Source organism: Homo sapiens, chromosome 12, assembly GCF_000001405.40.
Source record: "Homo sapiens chromosome 12, GRCh38.p14 Primary Assembly".
Taxonomy (NCBI): Eukaryota; Metazoa; Chordata; class Mammalia; order Primates; family Hominidae; genus Homo; species Homo sapiens.
The window spans coordinates 6345260-6363151 of record NC_000012.12 but is presented as its reverse complement, the minus strand read 5'-3'; the positions used below and the strand labels follow the sequence as shown (position 1 = coordinate 6363151).

The following is a 17892-nucleotide window of genomic DNA, read 5'->3' as shown; positions in this document are numbered from 1 at the left end:
TATTATTATTATTGTTTTACTGTTTCTGGTCCTTGATTCAGGAAGGAAAATGCAACTTTCTGAATTCCAGTGCCCACTAGTGGGACTCAGTTAGGACCCTCCAGCGTGATGGAGAACTGGGCTAACAGCCCAAGATAGAGAATAAGGAGACAGTAAAAAAAGGAAACTTAGCTGGGGGCGGTGGCTCATGCCTGTAATCCCAGCACTTTGGGAGGCCTAGGCGTGCAGATCACCTGAGCCCAGGAGTTTTAGACCAGCCTGGTCAACATAGTGAAACCCCATCTCTACAAAAAAAAAATACAAAAATTAGCCCATGTGGTGGCACAAGCCTGTAGTTCCAGCTACTTAGGAGGCTGAGATGGGAGAATTGCTTGAACTCGGGAGATGGAGACTGCTGTGAGCCTTGATCACACCACTGTACTCCAGCCTGAGTGACAGAGTGAGCTCGTCTGCCAAAAAAAAAGAAAGAAAGGAGCAAGGGAAAATGAGGGAGGAGCCAAGGAAAGGAGACAGGGAAGTTCCCATTAGTAAGAGTGGGCTGGGGACTGGAGTCCTAGTCCCAGCTCTTGCTGGGACAAATCTCTTGATCCCTCAGTCTTCCCATCAGTGAAATGGGAGGGAAAGTCTTGCTCCTTCCACCCTAGGCAGGGGAGGTATAAATGAACCAAAACCGTGTGTGTGCAGCTACTGGTCTCCTTTCCTGGCCTGCAACTCCCTTAATCCCATGCTCCCCTGGTCCATGCTCCTAGGGACTTCTGCTTCTCTTCCACTTCTGTCTTTCCCCACTCCTGGCTTCCGACTCCTGTCCGTCAGTCCTCAGAACCCCAGATCACTCATTCTTTGCCCTTGGCCCTGCCAAGGGGCTTATCCCCGGCTGCGTGTCCCCTCTGACTCTAGTCTCTGTGTCCAGTGCAACCAGAACAAATCGGACTGCTTCTACCAGACATACTCATCAGGGGTGGATGCGGTGAGGGAGTGGTACCGCTTCCACTACATCAACATCCTGTCGAGGCTGCCAGAGACTCTGCCATCCCTGGAGGAGGACACGCTGGGCAACTTCATCTTCGCCTGCCGCTTCAACCAGGTCTCCTGCAACCAGGCGTGAGTCAGTCCTGCCTGGCTCCTTGCTCTCCGCGGGGTCCGCTTCCCTGGGTCAGCCTCACGCCCTGCATGGGCAGGGCCCAGGAAATGCTTGTTGACTAAAAAAATGCCAGTGCCAGCAGGCCAGGGGGAAGCACTGGCTTTGGGCCCACACCCTGCCCCAGAGAGCGCCCTACGAACTCCTGCTGCTCCCTGCACTGCTGGATCTGAGGGAAGTGGCCTCACAGGATGCCTTGGGAAGACTGGGGCTTTGAGAAACCAAAGGCTGGAAGCATGGATCTTGGTCTTTTTTGTTTTTCTTTTTTTTGAGATGGAGTTTTGCTCTTGTTGCTCAGGCTGGAGTGCAATGGCGCGATCTCGGCTGTCTGCAACCTTCACCTCCTGGGGTCAAGCAATTCTCCTGCCTCAGCCTCCTGAGTAGCTGGGATTACAGTCATGCGCCACCACGCCTGGCTAATTTTTTTATTTTTAGTAGAGACGTTGGTCAACGTCCATGTTGGTCAGGCTGGTCTCCAACTCCTGACCTCAGGTGATCTGCCTGCCTTGGCCTCCCAAAGTGCTGGGATTACAGGCGTGAGCCACCATGCCTGGCCAGGGTCTTGGTCTTTCTAAGGCCCCTTTCTCCCTAGCATCAAAGCTCAAAAGGGCCTAGGAGATCATCTGTCTCATACTCTGTTCCCTGAGCTGAGGCTGGCAGTAGTAGTGAGGTGGAGTGGCATGGGTTGAGGGACTAAACCTAAGTTCCCACTCTAGCTCTGTCACTTCCTGGCCAGGTGACTCTGGATGTATCACATCATCCTTCAGAGCCTATTTCTTAGATTGTAAAATGGAAGTAAAACAAAAAATGAGATTCATTCAGTGTTCGTTCAACAAATAGTTTTGACTATCTGGGCTATGTGCCAGTCACTGTTCTAGGCATTTGGACTACATCAAAGGAAAAACTATATAATCCATGCTCCTTTGGCACTTTTACTCAAGTGACGAAGATGATGACGATAACACTCATCTCAAGAGCTGTACCAAGTGTGTGAGATACAAACGTGAGGGCACTTTATAGACCACAGTAAATGATGGGTTTCATTACTCTTGTACTCAAACAGGTGAAGTGACTTGCCCTTGGGAATGGGCCGGCCCTGGCTAAGGATTCTTCCCACCCCACTACCCCTCGGGTATTCATTCTGTGAGGACCCCTGTTATAATGTCCTTGCAAGCAGCTCATAGCAGCTGCAGGTTCTCTGAGGGCTGGGAGAGGCTGAGGCGAGGGGGGGGTCCCCTTCTGTAACCTCTGGCCCCCTCCTCCCCTGCCTTCTCCTCCTGCTCGTTTATTTTCCGGAGCCATCTCCCTGCCTCTGCCTGGCTCCACTCTACAGGGGGCATTCCCTCCCCTGTTGCTGAAGAATGGCCACAGGGCAAGGTGTCACTTCTTACCCTTCACACACACTCTGCCCAGTACACGATTTTGTTCTGTTTTTAGTCTTTGCATTTGTTTGAGGACAGAAACTACCAGCTGGGAAGTAAGATGGTAGCAACACCTAAGCCTGAGTCCGCCCACACCTGTCACCAAGTTCCTCTAACTGTCACCTGGACACCTGTGCTTTCCCTATGCCCTCACCCGATGCCTCCCTTTGCTCTGTGTGCCTGCCTCCCCATCAACAGAAAGTCCATGGACACCTGTGCTTTCCCTATGCCCTCACCCGATGCCCTCCCTTTGCTCTGTGTGCCTGCCTCCCCCTCAACAGAAAGTCCATGGTTCATCTTTATCTTGGCACTTAGGCGCTTAGGTCAGCTCAGAGCCTCATTGCTCGCCTGGGTTGTTATACCCACCACTCCACCCTACTGCGTTCTTTTGCCTCCAAATCCTCCCTTCCTTCTGCAACTACAGGAACCTTTGTACTTCAACCTTACTTCACGTCACCACATGTAACTATTCCAGTTAGTCCTGTGTGTTAGTCCATTTTGTGTTGCTATAAAGGAATATCTCACCGGGCACGGTGGCTCATGCCTGTAATCCCAGCACTTTGGGAGACCGAGATGGGCGGATCACCTGAGGTCAGGAGTTAGAGATCAGCCTGGCCAACATGGCGAAACCCCATCTCTACTGGAAATATAAAAATTAGCCGGGTGTGGTGGCACACATCTGTGGCCCCAGCTACTCAGGAGGCTGAGGCAGGAGGATTGCTTGAACCCAAGAGGTGGAGGTTGCAGTGAGCCGAGATCGCACCACTGCACTCCAGCCTGGGCGACAGAGCAAGACTCCATCTGAAAAAAAAAAAAAAAAAAAAAAAAGGAATATCTGAGTCTGGGTAATTTATAAAGGAAAGAGGTTTAATTGGCTCAGGGTTCTGCAGATTGTACAAGCATGGCACCAGCATCTGCTCAGCTTCTGGGGAGGCCTCAGGAAACTTTTACTCATGGTAGAAGGGGAGGAGAGGGGGCAAGAGAGAGAGAGACCAGGCACTTTTAAACAACCAGCTATCGGGTGAACTAATTAATAGTGTGAGGATTCACTCATTACTGTGAGGAGGGCACCAAGCCATTCAAGAGGGACCCACCCCTGTGACCCAAACACCTCCCAGCTAGGATCACCTCCAACATGGGGGATCACATTTCAACATGAGACTTGGAGGGGACAAACATCCAAACTGTATCCTCCTGTTTAAAATCGTTCAGTGTCTCTCACGGCCTCCAGCATCAAGTTGGTACTCCTTAGCATGGCTTTCTCACCCCTTTCCTCCCCGATAACTACACCCTTTTCCCCCACCCTATAATCTTTTTTTAATAACACTTTTATTGAGATATAATTTACAAACCATAAATGTATTCTTTTAATATGTATAATTTAGTGATTTTTAATATATTTGGAGTTGTGTAACCATTACCACTACCTGTTTTTAGAATATTTTCCTTACCCCAAAAAGAAACCCTGTACCCATTAGCAGTTCTTCCCCATTTTCTCCCCTCCTCCAAGCCCTGAGAGCCACTCTTCTGCTTTCTGTCTCTATGGATTGCCTGTGGTGGACATTTCACATAAGTGGAATCATACAATATGTGGTCTTTTGTGAGTGGCCTCTTTCATTTAGCATAACGTTTTCAAAGCTTATCCATGTTGTAGCATGGATCAGAACTTCATTTTTATGGCTGAATACTATGATATTGTGTAGATACACCACCTTTTTTTTTTTTTTTTTTTTGAGACAGGTTCTCACTCTGTTACCCAGGCTGGAGTACAGTGGCACAATCAGACCTCACTGTAGCTTTGATTTCCTGGGCTGAAACGATCCTCCTGATTCAGCCTCCCAAGTAGCTGGGACTACAGGCTCATGCCACCATGCCCAGCTAATTTTTTTTAATTTTAGTAGAGACTAGGTCTCACTATGGTGCCCAGGCTGATCTCGAACTCCTGAGCTCAAGCCATCCTCCTGCCTCGGCCTCCCAAAGTGCTGGGATTATAGGTGTAAGCCACCACGCCCGGCCCACATTTTTGCTTATCCATTCTCAGTTGATGGACATTTGGATTGTTTCTACTTTTTGGCTGTTATGATTAATGCTGCTATGAACATTCCTGTACATGTTTTTGTGGATCCTGTACATGGATCTATGTTTTTATTTCTCTTGGGTGTTTACCTATGAGTGGAACTGCTGGGTCATGTGGTAACTCTATATTTAACATTTTGAGGAGCTACCAGACTTTTCCAAATGGTCACACCATTTAACATTCCCAACAGCAATGTATGAAGGTTCTAAATTCTCTACCTCCTCCTCATGCTGTTGTCTGTCTTTTTGACTTTAGCCATCTTAATGAATCCCTGTAATCGTACTAGTGAGCTAATACAGCTCTTACTAAGGCTAGACACCATTCTAAGCATAATTTCATGCTCAACACCCCTGTGAGGTTGATATTTTTATTATCCCCATTTTACAGCTGAGGAAACTGAGGTACAGAGAGATTAAGTAAGTAACTTGTTTGGTCCCACATCTAATACTTGTTAGAGCCCCAGGATTCAAATACAAGGAATTTAATTCTGGAGTCTGTGCTCTTTTTTTTTCTTTTGGAGACGGAGTTTCACTCTTACTGGCCAGGCTGGAGTGCAATGGCGCAATCTCAGCTCATGACAACCTCCACCTCCCAGGTTCAAGTGATTCTCCTGCCTCAGCTTCCTGAGTAGCTGGGATTACAGGCATGTGCCGCCGTGCCCGGCTAATTTTGTATTTTTAGTAGAGATGGGGTTTCACCATGTTGGCCAGGCTGGTCTCAAACTCCTGACCTCAGGTGACCCCACCCGCCTCGGCCTCCCAAAGTGCTGGGATTACAGGCGTCAGCCACTGCGCCTGGCTGAGTCTGTGCTCTTAACCATCACATTATACTGATTCTCATAGGCCACTATAGTAATGTGCTTAGTGTGTATCTCTATGTGTTTTTGCAAAATCTGTATTTAATTTATATAAATGGTATTGTGTTATAGATCTCATTTCACCTCTTACTATTTTTTTTTTTGAGACAGAGTCTCGCTGTAGTGTGCAGTGGTGCAATCTCAGCTCACTGCAACCTCCCAAGTTCAAGCGATTCTTCTGCCTCAGCCTCCCGACTAGCTGAGATAATAGGTGCCCACCACCACGCCTGGCGAATTTTTGTATTTTTGGTAGAGACGGGGTTTCACCATGTTGGCCAGGCTGGTCTCAAACTTCTGACTTCAACTGATCCACCTGTCTCAGCCTCCCAAAGTGTTGGGATTACAGGCGTGAGCCACTGTGCCCCACCACTTTTTTTTTTCGAAGCTCTATGTTTTAAAACCCATCCGTGTTTCTCCACCGCTGATGGAACTTGTGCCTGCTTTCCATGGGGGCAGCACCCACCATTATACTTGTCCCCTCTCTGTGTGCGAAGGGCTCACCAGCCTTCAGGACTGGCCACCTCTGTAGCCTCTCCTTCAGTCCTTCCCTGCATCTAGCCTGGGCTCTAGAAGTGCTGACTTCCCAGTACATCCTAGAATGTGCACCAGTATGTCACGCCTCTGTGCCTTTGTTCTTCAAGGCCAGTGGAATATCCCGGATCACCTAGTTCCAATCTCCTCATTTTACAGAATCATCCTACATTTTACAGAGGAGGAGAATAAGCTTAGAAACAATGACCTGCTTGAGACCGTACAACCAGAACCCCACCCTTTATCTCTGGCCAGCCTCTTCTCCCTCTTCTCTTTAGTCCTCCTCTGCTGCTCACTGGCCGAAGTCCCCTTTCCGTCTTTGCCTGGCTCCCGTCGCTAGCTCCAAGATGGCAGGGTAGCAGAACACAGATCCTCTCTGTGCCGTGTGGCACATGTGCTGTGCTACAACCCACACAGCCTCCCTGTTCTGGAACCTGTGATTTGCTGTGAAATTGCAGTCCTACTGCAGCTGTGTTGCCTCTGTGATTGCTTTCTCTCTGTCCCCACACCTGTCACAGATGAGTTTTGGACCTACCATTCTGAGACATACTGATGCAAGAGGCTCCCAGGAAACACTTGGTACTGATCTTCCTCCCCTCAGCTCCGTGCTCACCACTGGTCACACTTTCTCCTTTAACCCTGCTCCCCTCCTCCCCTTCATTCATTCATTCATTCATTCATTCATTCATTCCTCACTCAACAACTATTTATTAATCATCTCCTCTATCTCCTAGATGACAGGATCTATGCAACTAACCCAGAGATGACACAGAGATGAATGAGATGTGGCTCCTGTCATCAAGGAGCTCATGATTCAATGGGGAACTAACACTTAGATGCATGGGCAGTTAGGGACATGCAAGAATCTTTGTAATGCAACAAGAGAGAAGTTACAAGGCAGCACGGAAGTCAATGCCGGTGAACCCAGATGGCCTGGTGAGAGGAGCCTGGACTAGAAGGTAGATGTGTGACCTTGGGCCAGCTGTTTGAGCTCTCTGAGCCTTAGCTTCCTCCTCTGTGATATGAGGATGAGACTCTCACAGGCTGTTGGTTGGAGTGACTGAGGGAGTGTGAGTAAAGCTCTCAGCATTGTGCCAGCACATAGTAGGTGATCAGGAAACAAATGGCTCTGAAAGGCACAAGTCCTGTAGGAGTTTAAGAGAGTGGACATTTCTCTCTGCCTCATCTCCCTATTCCCTGCACCACCTACACTTTCCTCTCTGACCCTACTCTCTCTTTCCTGATAAGGAATTACTCTCACTTCCACCACCCGATGTATGGAAACTGCTATACTTTCAATGACAAGAACAACTCCAACCTCTGGATGTCTTCCATGCCTGGAATCAACAACGGTGAGAAGCTCCCTGCTTGCTCCATGGCGCCCTCTGCTTCAGCCACTCACCTGTACTTACCTTGAGCTCACCTCCTAGAGCTGCTGGGAGGGGTCCTGCCTGCTGTCTCTCCCCAATAGGTGCCACATAGTCCGTTCCAGGCATGAGAGGAATCCCGTCCCAGGTCTTCCTCCTGCCTCCAGATTCCAGCTCAGGGGTTGCCAGGTCCCTTTGCGGGTCTTCCTGAACTTGCTTCTCTTGCAGCTTTAGAGACTGGGCAAGGAAGGGAGAGTGGATTTCCATCTCCTAACTCTTTTCTAGGATTCCCGCCTCTGCCAACTCTGCTCTCTCTGCACCCCTAGGTCTGTCCCTGATGCTGCGCGCAGAGCAGAATGACTTCATTCCCCTGCTGTCCACAGTGACTGGGGCCCGGGTAATGGTGCACGGGCAGGATGAACCTGCCTTTATGGATGATGGTGGCTTTAACTTGCGGCCTGGCGTGGAGACCTCCATCAGCATGAGGAAGGCAAGGATGCTGACTGGGAGGCCTGGAAGGAGCGCCTCAGATTGCAGAGGGGCAGCGGGGAGGCATGGGAGGCTGGAGAGGGAGAGCATGTGGGGTGGGCCTTGAGCATGTGGAGGTCTTCAGGAGCAGGAATGAGGGGCAGAGGGGCTGGCACTGGGAAGTAAAGCCCTGCAGGGTGGACCCTGGGGGACAAGTGCTGAGAAGGCATTCAAGGCATGCTTAGGGTTTCTGGGGATGCTCTGGGCCTAGTGGCCTTGAAATGAGCAGTGGGTGGGCATGGGGGTGGCTGGAAGCATGTATTGAGAGGGCGAGGCCAGTAGGAGGGGCTGGCAGGTGTGAGATACAACCTGGAACTGAGGGAAGGCAGAGAACCCAGAGGCACTTGCTCTGTCCTCTGATCTCTTGGTGTATGTGGGTTCATAGGAAACCCTGGACAGACTTGGGGGCGATTATGGCGACTGCACCAAGAATGGCAGTGATGTTCCTGTTGAGAACCTTTACCCTTCAAAGTACACACAGCAGGTGAGGCCCAACCTGATTCCGTGGCAGCCACTCCCAGCCACTGCCCTGGCTGGCCCTGCAAAGCTGGAGGGGTTGTGTATGTGAGAGAGAGAGAGGGAAACTGGGGGGTGGTGGAAAGAGGATGGAGGCTCTGTGCAGAGAACTGCTGAGTTCAGGCCTGAACCCCCTCTCCTCTCCACCCTCCTCCCTTCCAGGTGTGTATTCACTCCTGCTTCCAGGAGAGCATGATCAAGGAGTGTGGCTGTGCCTACATCTTCTATCCGCGGCCCCAGAACGTGGAGTACTGTGACTACAGAAAGCACAGTTCCTGGGGTGAGACTCCAGGGAGCCCCCACCCTGCCCCACTGACCCCAGTACTCACTGAGGCACTTTTTCCTCTCAGTCCCCTGTTTGTGGGGATGACTTCTGGCTCCCACCTGCTGGGATGAATCCTTCCTTGCTCTTGTTTTTCAGCCTTTAGTCTCTGCCTCTGTCAGTTTCCCTCTCCCTCAGTCTCTCTCTCTTTTTTTCTATTTTTTTGAAATGGAGTCTCGCTCTGTCACCCAGGCTGGAGAGCAGTGGCGCGATCTCGGCTCACTGCAAGCTCCACCTCCCGGGTTCCCACCATTCTCCTGCCTCAGCCTCCTGAATAGCTGGGACTACAGGCACCCGCCACCACGCCCAGCTAATTTTTTGGTATTTTTAGTAGAGACGGGGTTTCACCCTGTTAGCCAGGATGGTCTCAATCTCCTGACCTCATGATCCACCCGCCTCGGCCTCCCTCTCTCTTCTATCTCTGTTCCTCCCTCTCAGTGTTGCAGTCTCTCTGTTTTGGCCTTTGTGTGTTTGTCAAGGAATTGTCCCATTTAAAAACAACCTGCAGGCCGGGCGCGGTGGCTCACGCCTGTAATCCCAGCACTTTGGGAGGCCACGGCGGGCGGATCACGAGGTCAGGAGATGGAGACCATCCTGGCTAACACGGTGAAACCCCGTCTCTACTAAAAATACAAAAAATTAGCCGGGCGAGGTGGCGGGCGCCTGTAGTCCCAGCTACGTGGGAGGCTGAGGCAGGAGAATGGTGTGGACCCGGGAGGCGGAGCCTGCAGTGAGCTGAGATCACGCCATTGCACTCCAGCCTGGGTGACAGCGAGACTCGGTCTCAAAAAAAAATAAATAAATAAAATAAATAAATAAAAATAAAAATAAAAACAACCTGCAGCAGAAGGAAGGAAGAGCACGTGAGAAAACCTCCAGCGGTTCCTCAATGGCTCCTAAGGTTTCAGTGCATGCTCTGCCCACAGCTTCCCTGCTCAGTGCCCAGGGCGCTTAGCTGGGCAGGCTCTGGAGGGGCTGGGTGGGGTACACAACACTTCCCTGGGGAGCAGGAAGAAAATATTAGAAGATACATGGGTCTGTCTCATTCCTTCACATTTTCCATCTTATGTGCTTTAGAATGGACATACTGTATCCATTCAATAGTAGAGGTATATAATTTATAAATCAAATACATGTATTGGACCTGTTTAAGATTTTTTTTTTAACTGAACAAGGGCACAATCAGTAAAGTTTGGAGCACCTTGGAATCTCCTCCTTATCCTGGTATAGGACTAGACAAATCTCTTTCCTTTTGACTACAGTTGAGTTGTTTGGCAGGGAAGTCGTGTGCCAGGAAGCTGAGAGAGAAAGAAAATCACAAAAAGAAAATATGTAAGCTGCAAGGGTTTGCATTCCTGGAGTTCATGCTCTTCCCTGGCACAGCTGGCCTGTTCCCCCTGCAGTTCCTCCTCCCAGGGCTCTCCCCTGGGCCCAGCTGTCCCACAGGGTGGGCGGAGGGCCATCACGGGAGGGGACATGGTAGTGGGCACTGGAGACACAGAGGCCCTCAAAGGCAGCGGATTGTCTCACCCCAGAGTTCAGCGTCCATCCCTACCTTGTTCCTGTCTGTGGTGACTTTTCCACTTCTGTCCTTCCCTGGGCTGGCTCCGCAGTTCTCTTCTGCCTGGACTTTCCAGTCGTGGCCTCCTGGTTCCTGTCTCTCTGACCTTAGAGGATTGTAGCACATCAGAACTGGGGGAAACCCAAAGGCCATCTGGCCTCATCTCCTGTCTCAGATGAGCAAATTAAGGTCCAGGGGGAGGATGTGACACGTCCCAGGGTATACAGAACTGGGATGGAGGAGATGCCACCTGTGATTTCTCCCTCCCCTCAAATAATTATTTCTACTTTGTGGGTTTGCACATCTGTGAGTGAAAAATAACAATATTGATTGCTGAGAAGTTGTGAGGATGAGAGAGGAAGTAAGGCTAAAAGCACAGTCTGTTGCATTTCCTAGGGCTTACTTCCCCGGAGAAGAGGGCCAGCTGCTTCCCCTTCTTCCTAAAGATCTCCAGCCCTGGTAGGGATTTGGGTCAGAAATGAAGAAGGACTTCAGACTGAGGAACTAAAAGTAGCAATAATGACAAAATAACCTTACTTAGAATTTGGGAAATAGGGGAGGAGGTGAATCTACAGTTCCATTATTATTATTATTATTTTGGTAATAGCTTTATTGAGATAATTTATATCCCATACATTTCACTCATTTAAAGCATACAGCTTCATTTTAGTCAAATTTTAGTTTTAATTTTACGTTTTAAGTATAGTCCCAGAGTTGTGCAATCATCATATAATCAGTTTTGGAATATTTTTAGTGTTCCCAAAAGAAACCCTGTACTCACTCAAGCCAGGCACAGTGGTTCATGCCTGTAATCGCAGCACTTTGAGAGGCCAAGGTGGGCAGATCACTTGAGCCCAGGATTTCGACACCAGCCTGGGCAACGTGGCGAAACCCTGTCTTTACAAAAATTAGCTGGGCATGGTGGTGCACACCTGCAGACCCAGCCACTTGGGAGGCTGAGCTGGGAGAATCACCTGAGCCCAGGAGGTCAAGGCTGCAGTGAGCCATGATCAGGCCACTGCACTCCAGCCTGGGCAATGGAGTGAGACCCTGTCTCAGATAAATAAATAAATAAACCTTGTACTCATTAGCAAGTCCCAAGCTTCCCTCCCCTCCTCCACCACTGCCAGCCCTTGGGCAACCACGATTCTTTCTTTCTCTCTCTATGGATTTGCCTATTCTGAATCTTTTTTTTTTTTTTTCTTCTGGAGACAGAATCTCCCTCTGTCGCCCAGACTGGAGTGCAGTGGCGCGATCTTGGCTCACTGCTACCTCTGCCTCTCAGGTTCAAGCAATTCTCCTGTCTCAGCTTCCCGAGTACCTGGGACTACATACAGGCGCATGCTGCCAAGCCCAGCTAATTTTTGTATTTTTTAGTAGAGATGGGGTTTCACCATATTGGTCAGGCTGGTCTCAAACTCCTGACCTCAGGTGATCCGCCCACCTCAGCCCCCAAGTGCTGGGATTACAGGCATGAGCCACTGCGCCCGGCTATTCTGAATCTTTCATATAGATGGAATCTTAGAGTGTGTGACCCTCGTGTCTGCCTTATTTCACTTAGCATAATATTTTCAAGGTTCATCCGTATGGTAGCAATAGCAGTGCCTCATTCCTTTATATGGCTGAATAACAACACTCCCTTGTATGGATAGACCACACTTTGTTTACCCATTTATCAGTTAGTGGACATTTGTGTTGTTGCCACTTTTTGGTTATTGTGAATAATGCTGCTGTGAGCATTTGTGTACAAGTTTTTGTGTGGACGCATGTTTTCCATTTTCTTGGGTATATACCTAGGAATGGAATTGCTAGGTCATATGGTAATCTATGTTTAACCTTTTTTGAGGAGCTGCCAGGCTGTTTTCCGAAGTGACATCACCATTGTACATCCCTAGCAGCAGTATAAGAGGTTTTCAGTTTCTCCACATCCTGCCAGTTCTTGTTATTGTCTTTTTAAATTTTTATTTATTTATTTATTTATTTATTTATTATTTATTTTGAGAAGACTCTCACTCTGTTGCCCAGGCTGGAGTGCAGTGGCACGATCTTGGCAAACTACAACCTCCACCTCCTAGGTTCAAGCAATTATCCTGCCTCAGCCTCCCAAGTAGCTGGGATTACAGGTGTGCACCACCACACCCGACTAATTTTTGTATTTTCAGTAGAGACTGGATTTCACCATGTTGGCCAGGCTGGTCTCGAATTCCTGACCTCAGGTAATCCACCTGCCTCAGCCTCCCAAAGTGTTGGTATTACAGGCGTGAGCCACCGCACCCAGCCTATTGTCTTTTTTTAAATAACACACATCTTAATGGGTGTGAAGTGGTATCTTATTGTGGCTTAATTCCCTTATTCTTATACAATTATTGTTCCCATTTTTCTTTTCTTTTTTTTTTTTTTTGAGACGGAGTCTCGCTCAGTCGCCCAGGCTAGAGTGTGCAATGGCGCGATCTCGGCTCACTGCAAGCTCCGCCTCCCGGGTTCACGCCATTCTCCTGCCTCAGCCTCCCGAGTAGCTGGGACTACAGGCGCCCGCCACCACGCCCGGCTAATTTTTTGTATTTTTAGTAGAGACGGGGTTTCACCGTGTTAGCCAGGATGGTCTCGATCTCTTGACCTCGTGATCCACCCGCCTCGGCCTCCCAAAGTGCTGGGATTACAGGCGTGAGCCACCACGCCCGGCCTGTTCCCATTTTTCTTTATGGCGTTTATGTTTTTGTCCATAGCATATATTTCCTTACACTGGTGTATCCTGTTTTGTTTTTCGCCTGACTTAGCTTATTTTCTTTCTTTATTAATTTATTTTTTAGGCCAGGTGCGGTCGCTCACACCTGTAATCCCAGCACTTTGGGAGGCCGAGGCGGGCAGATCACGAGGTCAGGAGATCGAGACCATCTTGGCTAACACAGAGAAACCCCATCTCTACTAAAAATACGAAAAATTAGCCGGGCGTGGTGGCGGGCGCCTGTAGTCCCAGCTACTCCGGAGGCTGATGCAGGAGAATGGTATGAACCCGGGAGGCGGAGCTTGCAGTGAGCCAAGATTGCGCCACTGCACTCTAGCGTGGGCAACAGAGCGAAACTCCGTCTAAAAAAAAAATTAATTTATTAAAAATTTTTTTTTTTAGAGACAAGGTCTCACTCTGTTGCCAGAGTTGGAGTACAAAGGCACACTCATAGCTCACTTGCAACCTTGAACTCCTGGCCTCAAACGACCCTCCCACCTCGGCCTCCCAAAGTGCTGAGCCACTGTCCCTGGCTTAGCTTAATTTCTTAAACGCTTCTTGGTACTGCCACTCATAAGGCATCATTATAATGCTAAATAATGCTCTTGTAAAGTGGGTACCCAGGGATCTTGGGAGACCTCTTGGGTGTGGGGTAGAGAAAGCTGAGGTGCCCTAGGAGAACAGGCATCTCTCTGTACCCACAGGGTACTGCTACTATAAGCTCCAGGTTGACTTCTCCTCAGACCACCTGGGCTGTTTCACCAAGTGCCGGAAGCCATGCAGGTTAGTGTCCCCTTCCCCGGGTACAGGTTGGGTAGAATACAGGTTACCGAGCCAAGCATTTGGGAGAGCTCTGCCCCAACACTGAGCACCTTTCTCCATCCCCAGCGTGACCAGCTACCAGCTCTCTGCTGGTTACTCACGATGGCCCTCGGTGACATCCCAGGTAGAGTGTGGGGAAGGGATGGGTGGGGGATGTGTGTGCCCATGTAATGCTGTGGCCTTCTCTGGGTATTATGTGTATGAGTGTGTTTGACACAACCCTATCCCTGTAAGCCTGAAGCATATGGGAGTGACCTTGATGACACCCCCATTCTTTCCTAGGAATGGGTCTTCCAGATGCTATCGCGACAGAACAATTACACCGTCAACAACAAGAGGTCAGTCCTGCCCTGGTCCCAGCCACAAGAAGGGAATCTTTGGGAGGGAAAATAGACCTAAGAAGAGGGATCGATATGGTTGATTAGAGGAAGGTCCAGGAAATTCATCCTCTACCATTTCTTCCCACCCTCTGCCCCACACCTAAGAAATGGAGTGGCCAAAGTCAACATCTTCTTCAAGGAGCTGAACTACAAAACCAATTCTGAGTCTCCCTCTGTCACGGTAGGTCGTGCCTGGATGGAGCCTGTGATGCTCTGGGGGTCTTACTTAGCAGGGCGGCTGTCGGGGAAAACCAAAAGGTTGTCTCTGTGGGCCAGAAGGCTCTGAGTCTCAAAGGCAGGGGACCAAAGAAGAGGGTCAAGGGAGAGGTTGGGAGGGTTGGAAGAAGGAGCTCGGCCGGGGCATAAGGTCTCTGGGGGTGGTGGGAGGGACAGGCATGCTAGATGCTGGGGTGAAGGCGCTTGACCCATGCCCCCATTTCAGCTGCCCCTAACTGTGGGCCAGTTATCAGTTTTCTCTGGGTGACACTGGCCAGGAGCAGAGACAAAGAGCCCAGGGGGCTGCTGAGAGGCTGAGAGGACTCGGGGGTCTTCAGGGATGAAGGGAGACAGCTTGGTGAGGAGGGAAGGGGGCTCCTCTGCCAGAGTCCATCCAGAACCCTCTGTCCCATCGTCAATGTACCTCTCCTCTCACAGATGGTCACCCTCCTGTCCAACCTGGGCAGCCAGTGGAGCCTGTGGTTCGGCTCCTCGGTGTTGTCTGTGGTGGAGATGGCTGAGCTCGTCTTTGACCTGCTGGTCATCATGTTCCTCATGCTGCTCCGAAGGTTCCGAAGCCGATACTGGTCTCCAGGCCGAGGGGGCAGGGGTGCTCAGGAGGTAGCCTCCACCCTGGCATCCTCCCCTCCTTCCCACTTCTGCCCCCACCCCATGTCTCTGTCCTTGTCCCAGCCAGGCCCTGCTCCCTCTCCAGCCTTGACAGCCCCTCCCCCTGCCTATGCCACCCTGGGCCCCCGCCCATCTCCAGGGGGCTCTGCAGGGGCCAGTTCCTCCACCTGTCCTCTGGGGGGGCCCTGAGAGGGAAGGAGAGGTTTCTCACACCAAGGCAGATGCTCCTCTGGTGGGAGGGTGCTGGCCCTGGCAAGATTGAAGGATGTGCAGGGCTTCCTCTCAGAGCCGCCCAAACTGCCGTTGATGTGTGGAGGGGAAGCAAGATGGGTAAGGGCTCAGGAAGTTGCTCCAAGAACAGTAGCTGATGAAGCTGCCCAGAAGTGCCTTGGCTCCAGCCCTGTACCCCTTGGTACTGCCTCTGAACACTCTGGTTTCCCCACCCAACTGCGGCTAAGTCTCTTTTTCCCTTGGATCAGCCAAGCGAAACTTGGAGCTTTGACAAGGAACTTTCCTAAGAAACCGCTGATAACCAGGACAAAACACAACCAAGGGTACACGCAGGCATGCACGGGTTTCCTGCCCAGCGACGGCTTAAGCCAGCCCCCGACTGGCCTGGCCACACTGCTCTCCAGTAGCACAGATGTCTGCTCCTCCTCTTGAACTTGGGTGGGAAACCCCACCCAAAAGCCCCCTTTGTTACTTAGGCAATTCCCCTTCCCTGACTCCCGAGGGCTAGGGCTAGAGCAGACCCGGGTAAGTAAAGGCAGACCCAGGGCTCCTCTAGCCTCATACCCGTGCCCTCACAGAGCCATGCCCCGGCACCTCTGCCCTGTGTCTTTCATACCTCTACATGTCTGCTTGAGATATTTCCTCAGCCTGAAAGTTTCCCCAACCATCTGCCAGAGAACTCCTATGCATCCCTTAGAACCCTGCTCAGACACCATTACTTTTGTGAACGCTTCTGCCACATCTTGTCTTCCCCAAAATTGATCACTCCGCCTTCTCCTGGGCTCCCGTAGCACACTATAACATCTGCTGGAGTGTTGCTGTTGCACCATACTTTCTTGTACATTTGTGTCTCCCTTCCCAACTAGACTGTAAGTGCCTTGCGGTCAGGGACTGAATCTTGCCCGTTTATGTATGCTCCATGTCTAGCCCATCATCCTGCTTGGAGCAAGTAGGCAGGAGCTCAATAAATGTTTGTTGCATGAAGGAATGTCTGGAGAGCTGGATGGGGCATCATGAAGAGGGTAGGGGGTGGATACAAGTCATCACCCAAGCTTCTGGGAGGTCCTGGGGCTGGGAGAGGGTACAGACTCCCATGCCCCTTGGCTGCACCATGGAAGTGACCATTCTTCACGGGGTCTTAAGAGGGACAAACGTTCTGGTGAATTCCTCCATGGGTGTTGCTGAGCGTCTGCTATGTGCCCATGGCCATGTTAGGGTGGAAGGGGGAAGACATGATGCCACCCCTTCAGGGGACCTACCTCACAGTGTTTGGGGAGACTTGCCCTCTCCACTGTCTGAACCTCCTTTTCCTTCTCTGCTTTAGTCACCATCATCACTAACCTCCCCATCCCCCACTCCACTTGCTGAGTCCCACTTACCACCTGGCGGCAATGAACCCTCATCTGCCTGCCTCCCATCAGCTGTCTGGTGGTGGTGGAGGATGATGAGGCTCAGGCCAGTTTCTCCTGGAAATGCAAAGCCTTATATGGTCTTATTGGTACATGATTGCAGAGAGGGGCACAGGGAATCCTCCCAGCTTTAGTAAAGGAGAGACTGAGGTCCAGGGAGGGGCTGAAGGATGTGCGAGTGGAACTCCAGCTCTCCGATCCTTGTTTCTCCCCCACTCCAGCATAAGACCTGGAATCCAGAAGTGACCCTTTCTCACCATCTTTGGGGATTCTGTCCCTGCCACCTTAGTCTTATTCATCTTAATTGCAGTCTCCCTGTTCTGAGGAGCCAAAGGAGGAAGAGACTTTCGGGGAAAGAGGAGAAGGAGCTGGTGACAGGGGTAGGAAGGTAGACAGGGTCATGACCTGAAACGGTGTGACGACTGCTGACTTCCCTTTCCTGGACTTGAGCTGATGAAGGGGAAATGGTGTTGCAGTCTCCTCTGTCAGAGCCCTCAGGTGCAGACGGCACTTGTCTGCCCCCTCAGCCTCAGCCTTGGCCCACCTGGTCCCCAGTGCCCTCTCCTCTGGCTGGGGCAGGAGGACCTGCCGGACATAGCCAGATGTATTACGGATGACTGCAGTCAGCTCCCCCAGGCTCCTGCTTCTCTTGCCTCCTGCTTTTTTCCCCAGAGCTGTCTCCTTATCTCCATTCACTTGTCTATGGGTTACTCCTGGACCCTGGGGTTAGGAGTTGGAATCAGGCTGTTAGCGATAAAAGGGTTCAAGTTGACTCATTTTCCTTATCAGGCTTAGTAGTTGAAGTGACTTGCTGAGCTTCATAATTCTTAGAGAACCTGCCATGAACCCAGCTCCCTTTCTATGACTCACCCTGCCACCCTGTGACACATAGAGTCTGAATGGCAGGTCTGGGGCTAGAACCCACGTCATCTGGACTTGGAGTCCAGTGACCCTTTGGGTTAAGCATGTGTGTGTGTGTGTGTGTGCCATGATGCGGGAGGAAGGTCCCTGCTCTCTGTAGCTGTTTTCTTCATCCTTTGCTCTACAAGCCCTAACAGCCGATTCTGTCATCCCTAGTCTGCCCCTCTCCTGTTTCTCCATCTCCTCTGACCATGATTTTTTTCTGTCCCTGGAGGGATGATGGTCTCATTCTCACCTCCTC

General features: G+C 50.6%; 1 protein-coding gene and 2 long non-coding RNA genes across 5 annotated transcripts in view, besides 2 other annotated features; 1 reads left to right on the top strand and 2 right to left on the bottom strand.

Annotated features, from left to right (window-relative positions):
* Positions 1 to 16305, top strand: part of SCNN1A (sodium channel epithelial 1 subunit alpha) — a 30513-nt gene extending 14208 nt beyond the window's left edge. For all 3 annotated transcript variants that reach the window (NM_001159575.2, NM_001038.6, NM_001159576.2), the window contains 10 exons: positions 911 to 1101; positions 7272 to 7375; positions 7717 to 7880; positions 8304 to 8402; positions 8597 to 8714; positions 13747 to 13825; positions 13931 to 13988; positions 14147 to 14202; positions 14350 to 14425; positions 14899 to 16305. In NM_001159575.2, the coding sequence (NP_001153047.1) occupies positions 911 to 1101; positions 7272 to 7375; positions 7717 to 7880; positions 8304 to 8402; positions 8597 to 8714; positions 13747 to 13825; positions 13931 to 13988; positions 14147 to 14202; positions 14350 to 14425; positions 14899 to 15279 (1326 nt within the window). In that variant the 3' untranslated portion in view covers positions 15280 to 16305. The remainder of the gene's footprint in view (positions 1 to 910; positions 1102 to 7271; positions 7376 to 7716; positions 7881 to 8303; positions 8403 to 8596; positions 8715 to 13746; positions 13826 to 13930; positions 13989 to 14146; positions 14203 to 14349; positions 14426 to 14898) is intronic.
* Positions 368 to 1051: an enhancer, noted in NCBI's record as "H3K27ac-H3K4me1 hESC enhancer chr12:6471267-6471950 (GRCh37/hg19 assembly coordinates)". NCBI's record gives its function as "activates a minimal SCP1, AML or CMV promoter by ChIP-STARR-seq in naive H9 embryonic stem cells {active_cell/tissue: H9 hESC(naive)}" and the evidence as "EXISTENCE:reporter gene assay evidence [ECO:0000049][PMID:30033119]".
* Positions 7373 to 14971, bottom strand: LOC107984500 (uncharacterized). Its single transcript, XR_007063191.1, has 4 exons — positions 14885 to 14971; positions 10312 to 10423; positions 9958 to 10054; positions 7373 to 7627 (listed from the first exon to the last, which is right to left on the bottom strand). It is a non-coding gene; the product is annotated as an uncharacterized LOC107984500 (long non-coding RNA).
* LOC112268088 (uncharacterized) lies at positions 16074 to 17348 on the bottom strand. The gene is made up of 2 exons (XR_002957396.2): positions 17136 to 17348; positions 16074 to 16787 (listed from the first exon to the last, which is right to left on the bottom strand). It is a non-coding gene; the product is annotated as an uncharacterized LOC112268088 (long non-coding RNA).
* Positions 16775 to 17275: an enhancer, noted in NCBI's record as "H3K4me1 hESC enhancer chr12:6455043-6455543 (GRCh37/hg19 assembly coordinates)". NCBI's record gives its function as "activates a minimal SCP1, AML or CMV promoter by ChIP-STARR-seq in naive H9 embryonic stem cells {active_cell/tissue: H9 hESC(naive)}" and the evidence as "EXISTENCE:reporter gene assay evidence [ECO:0000049][PMID:30033119]".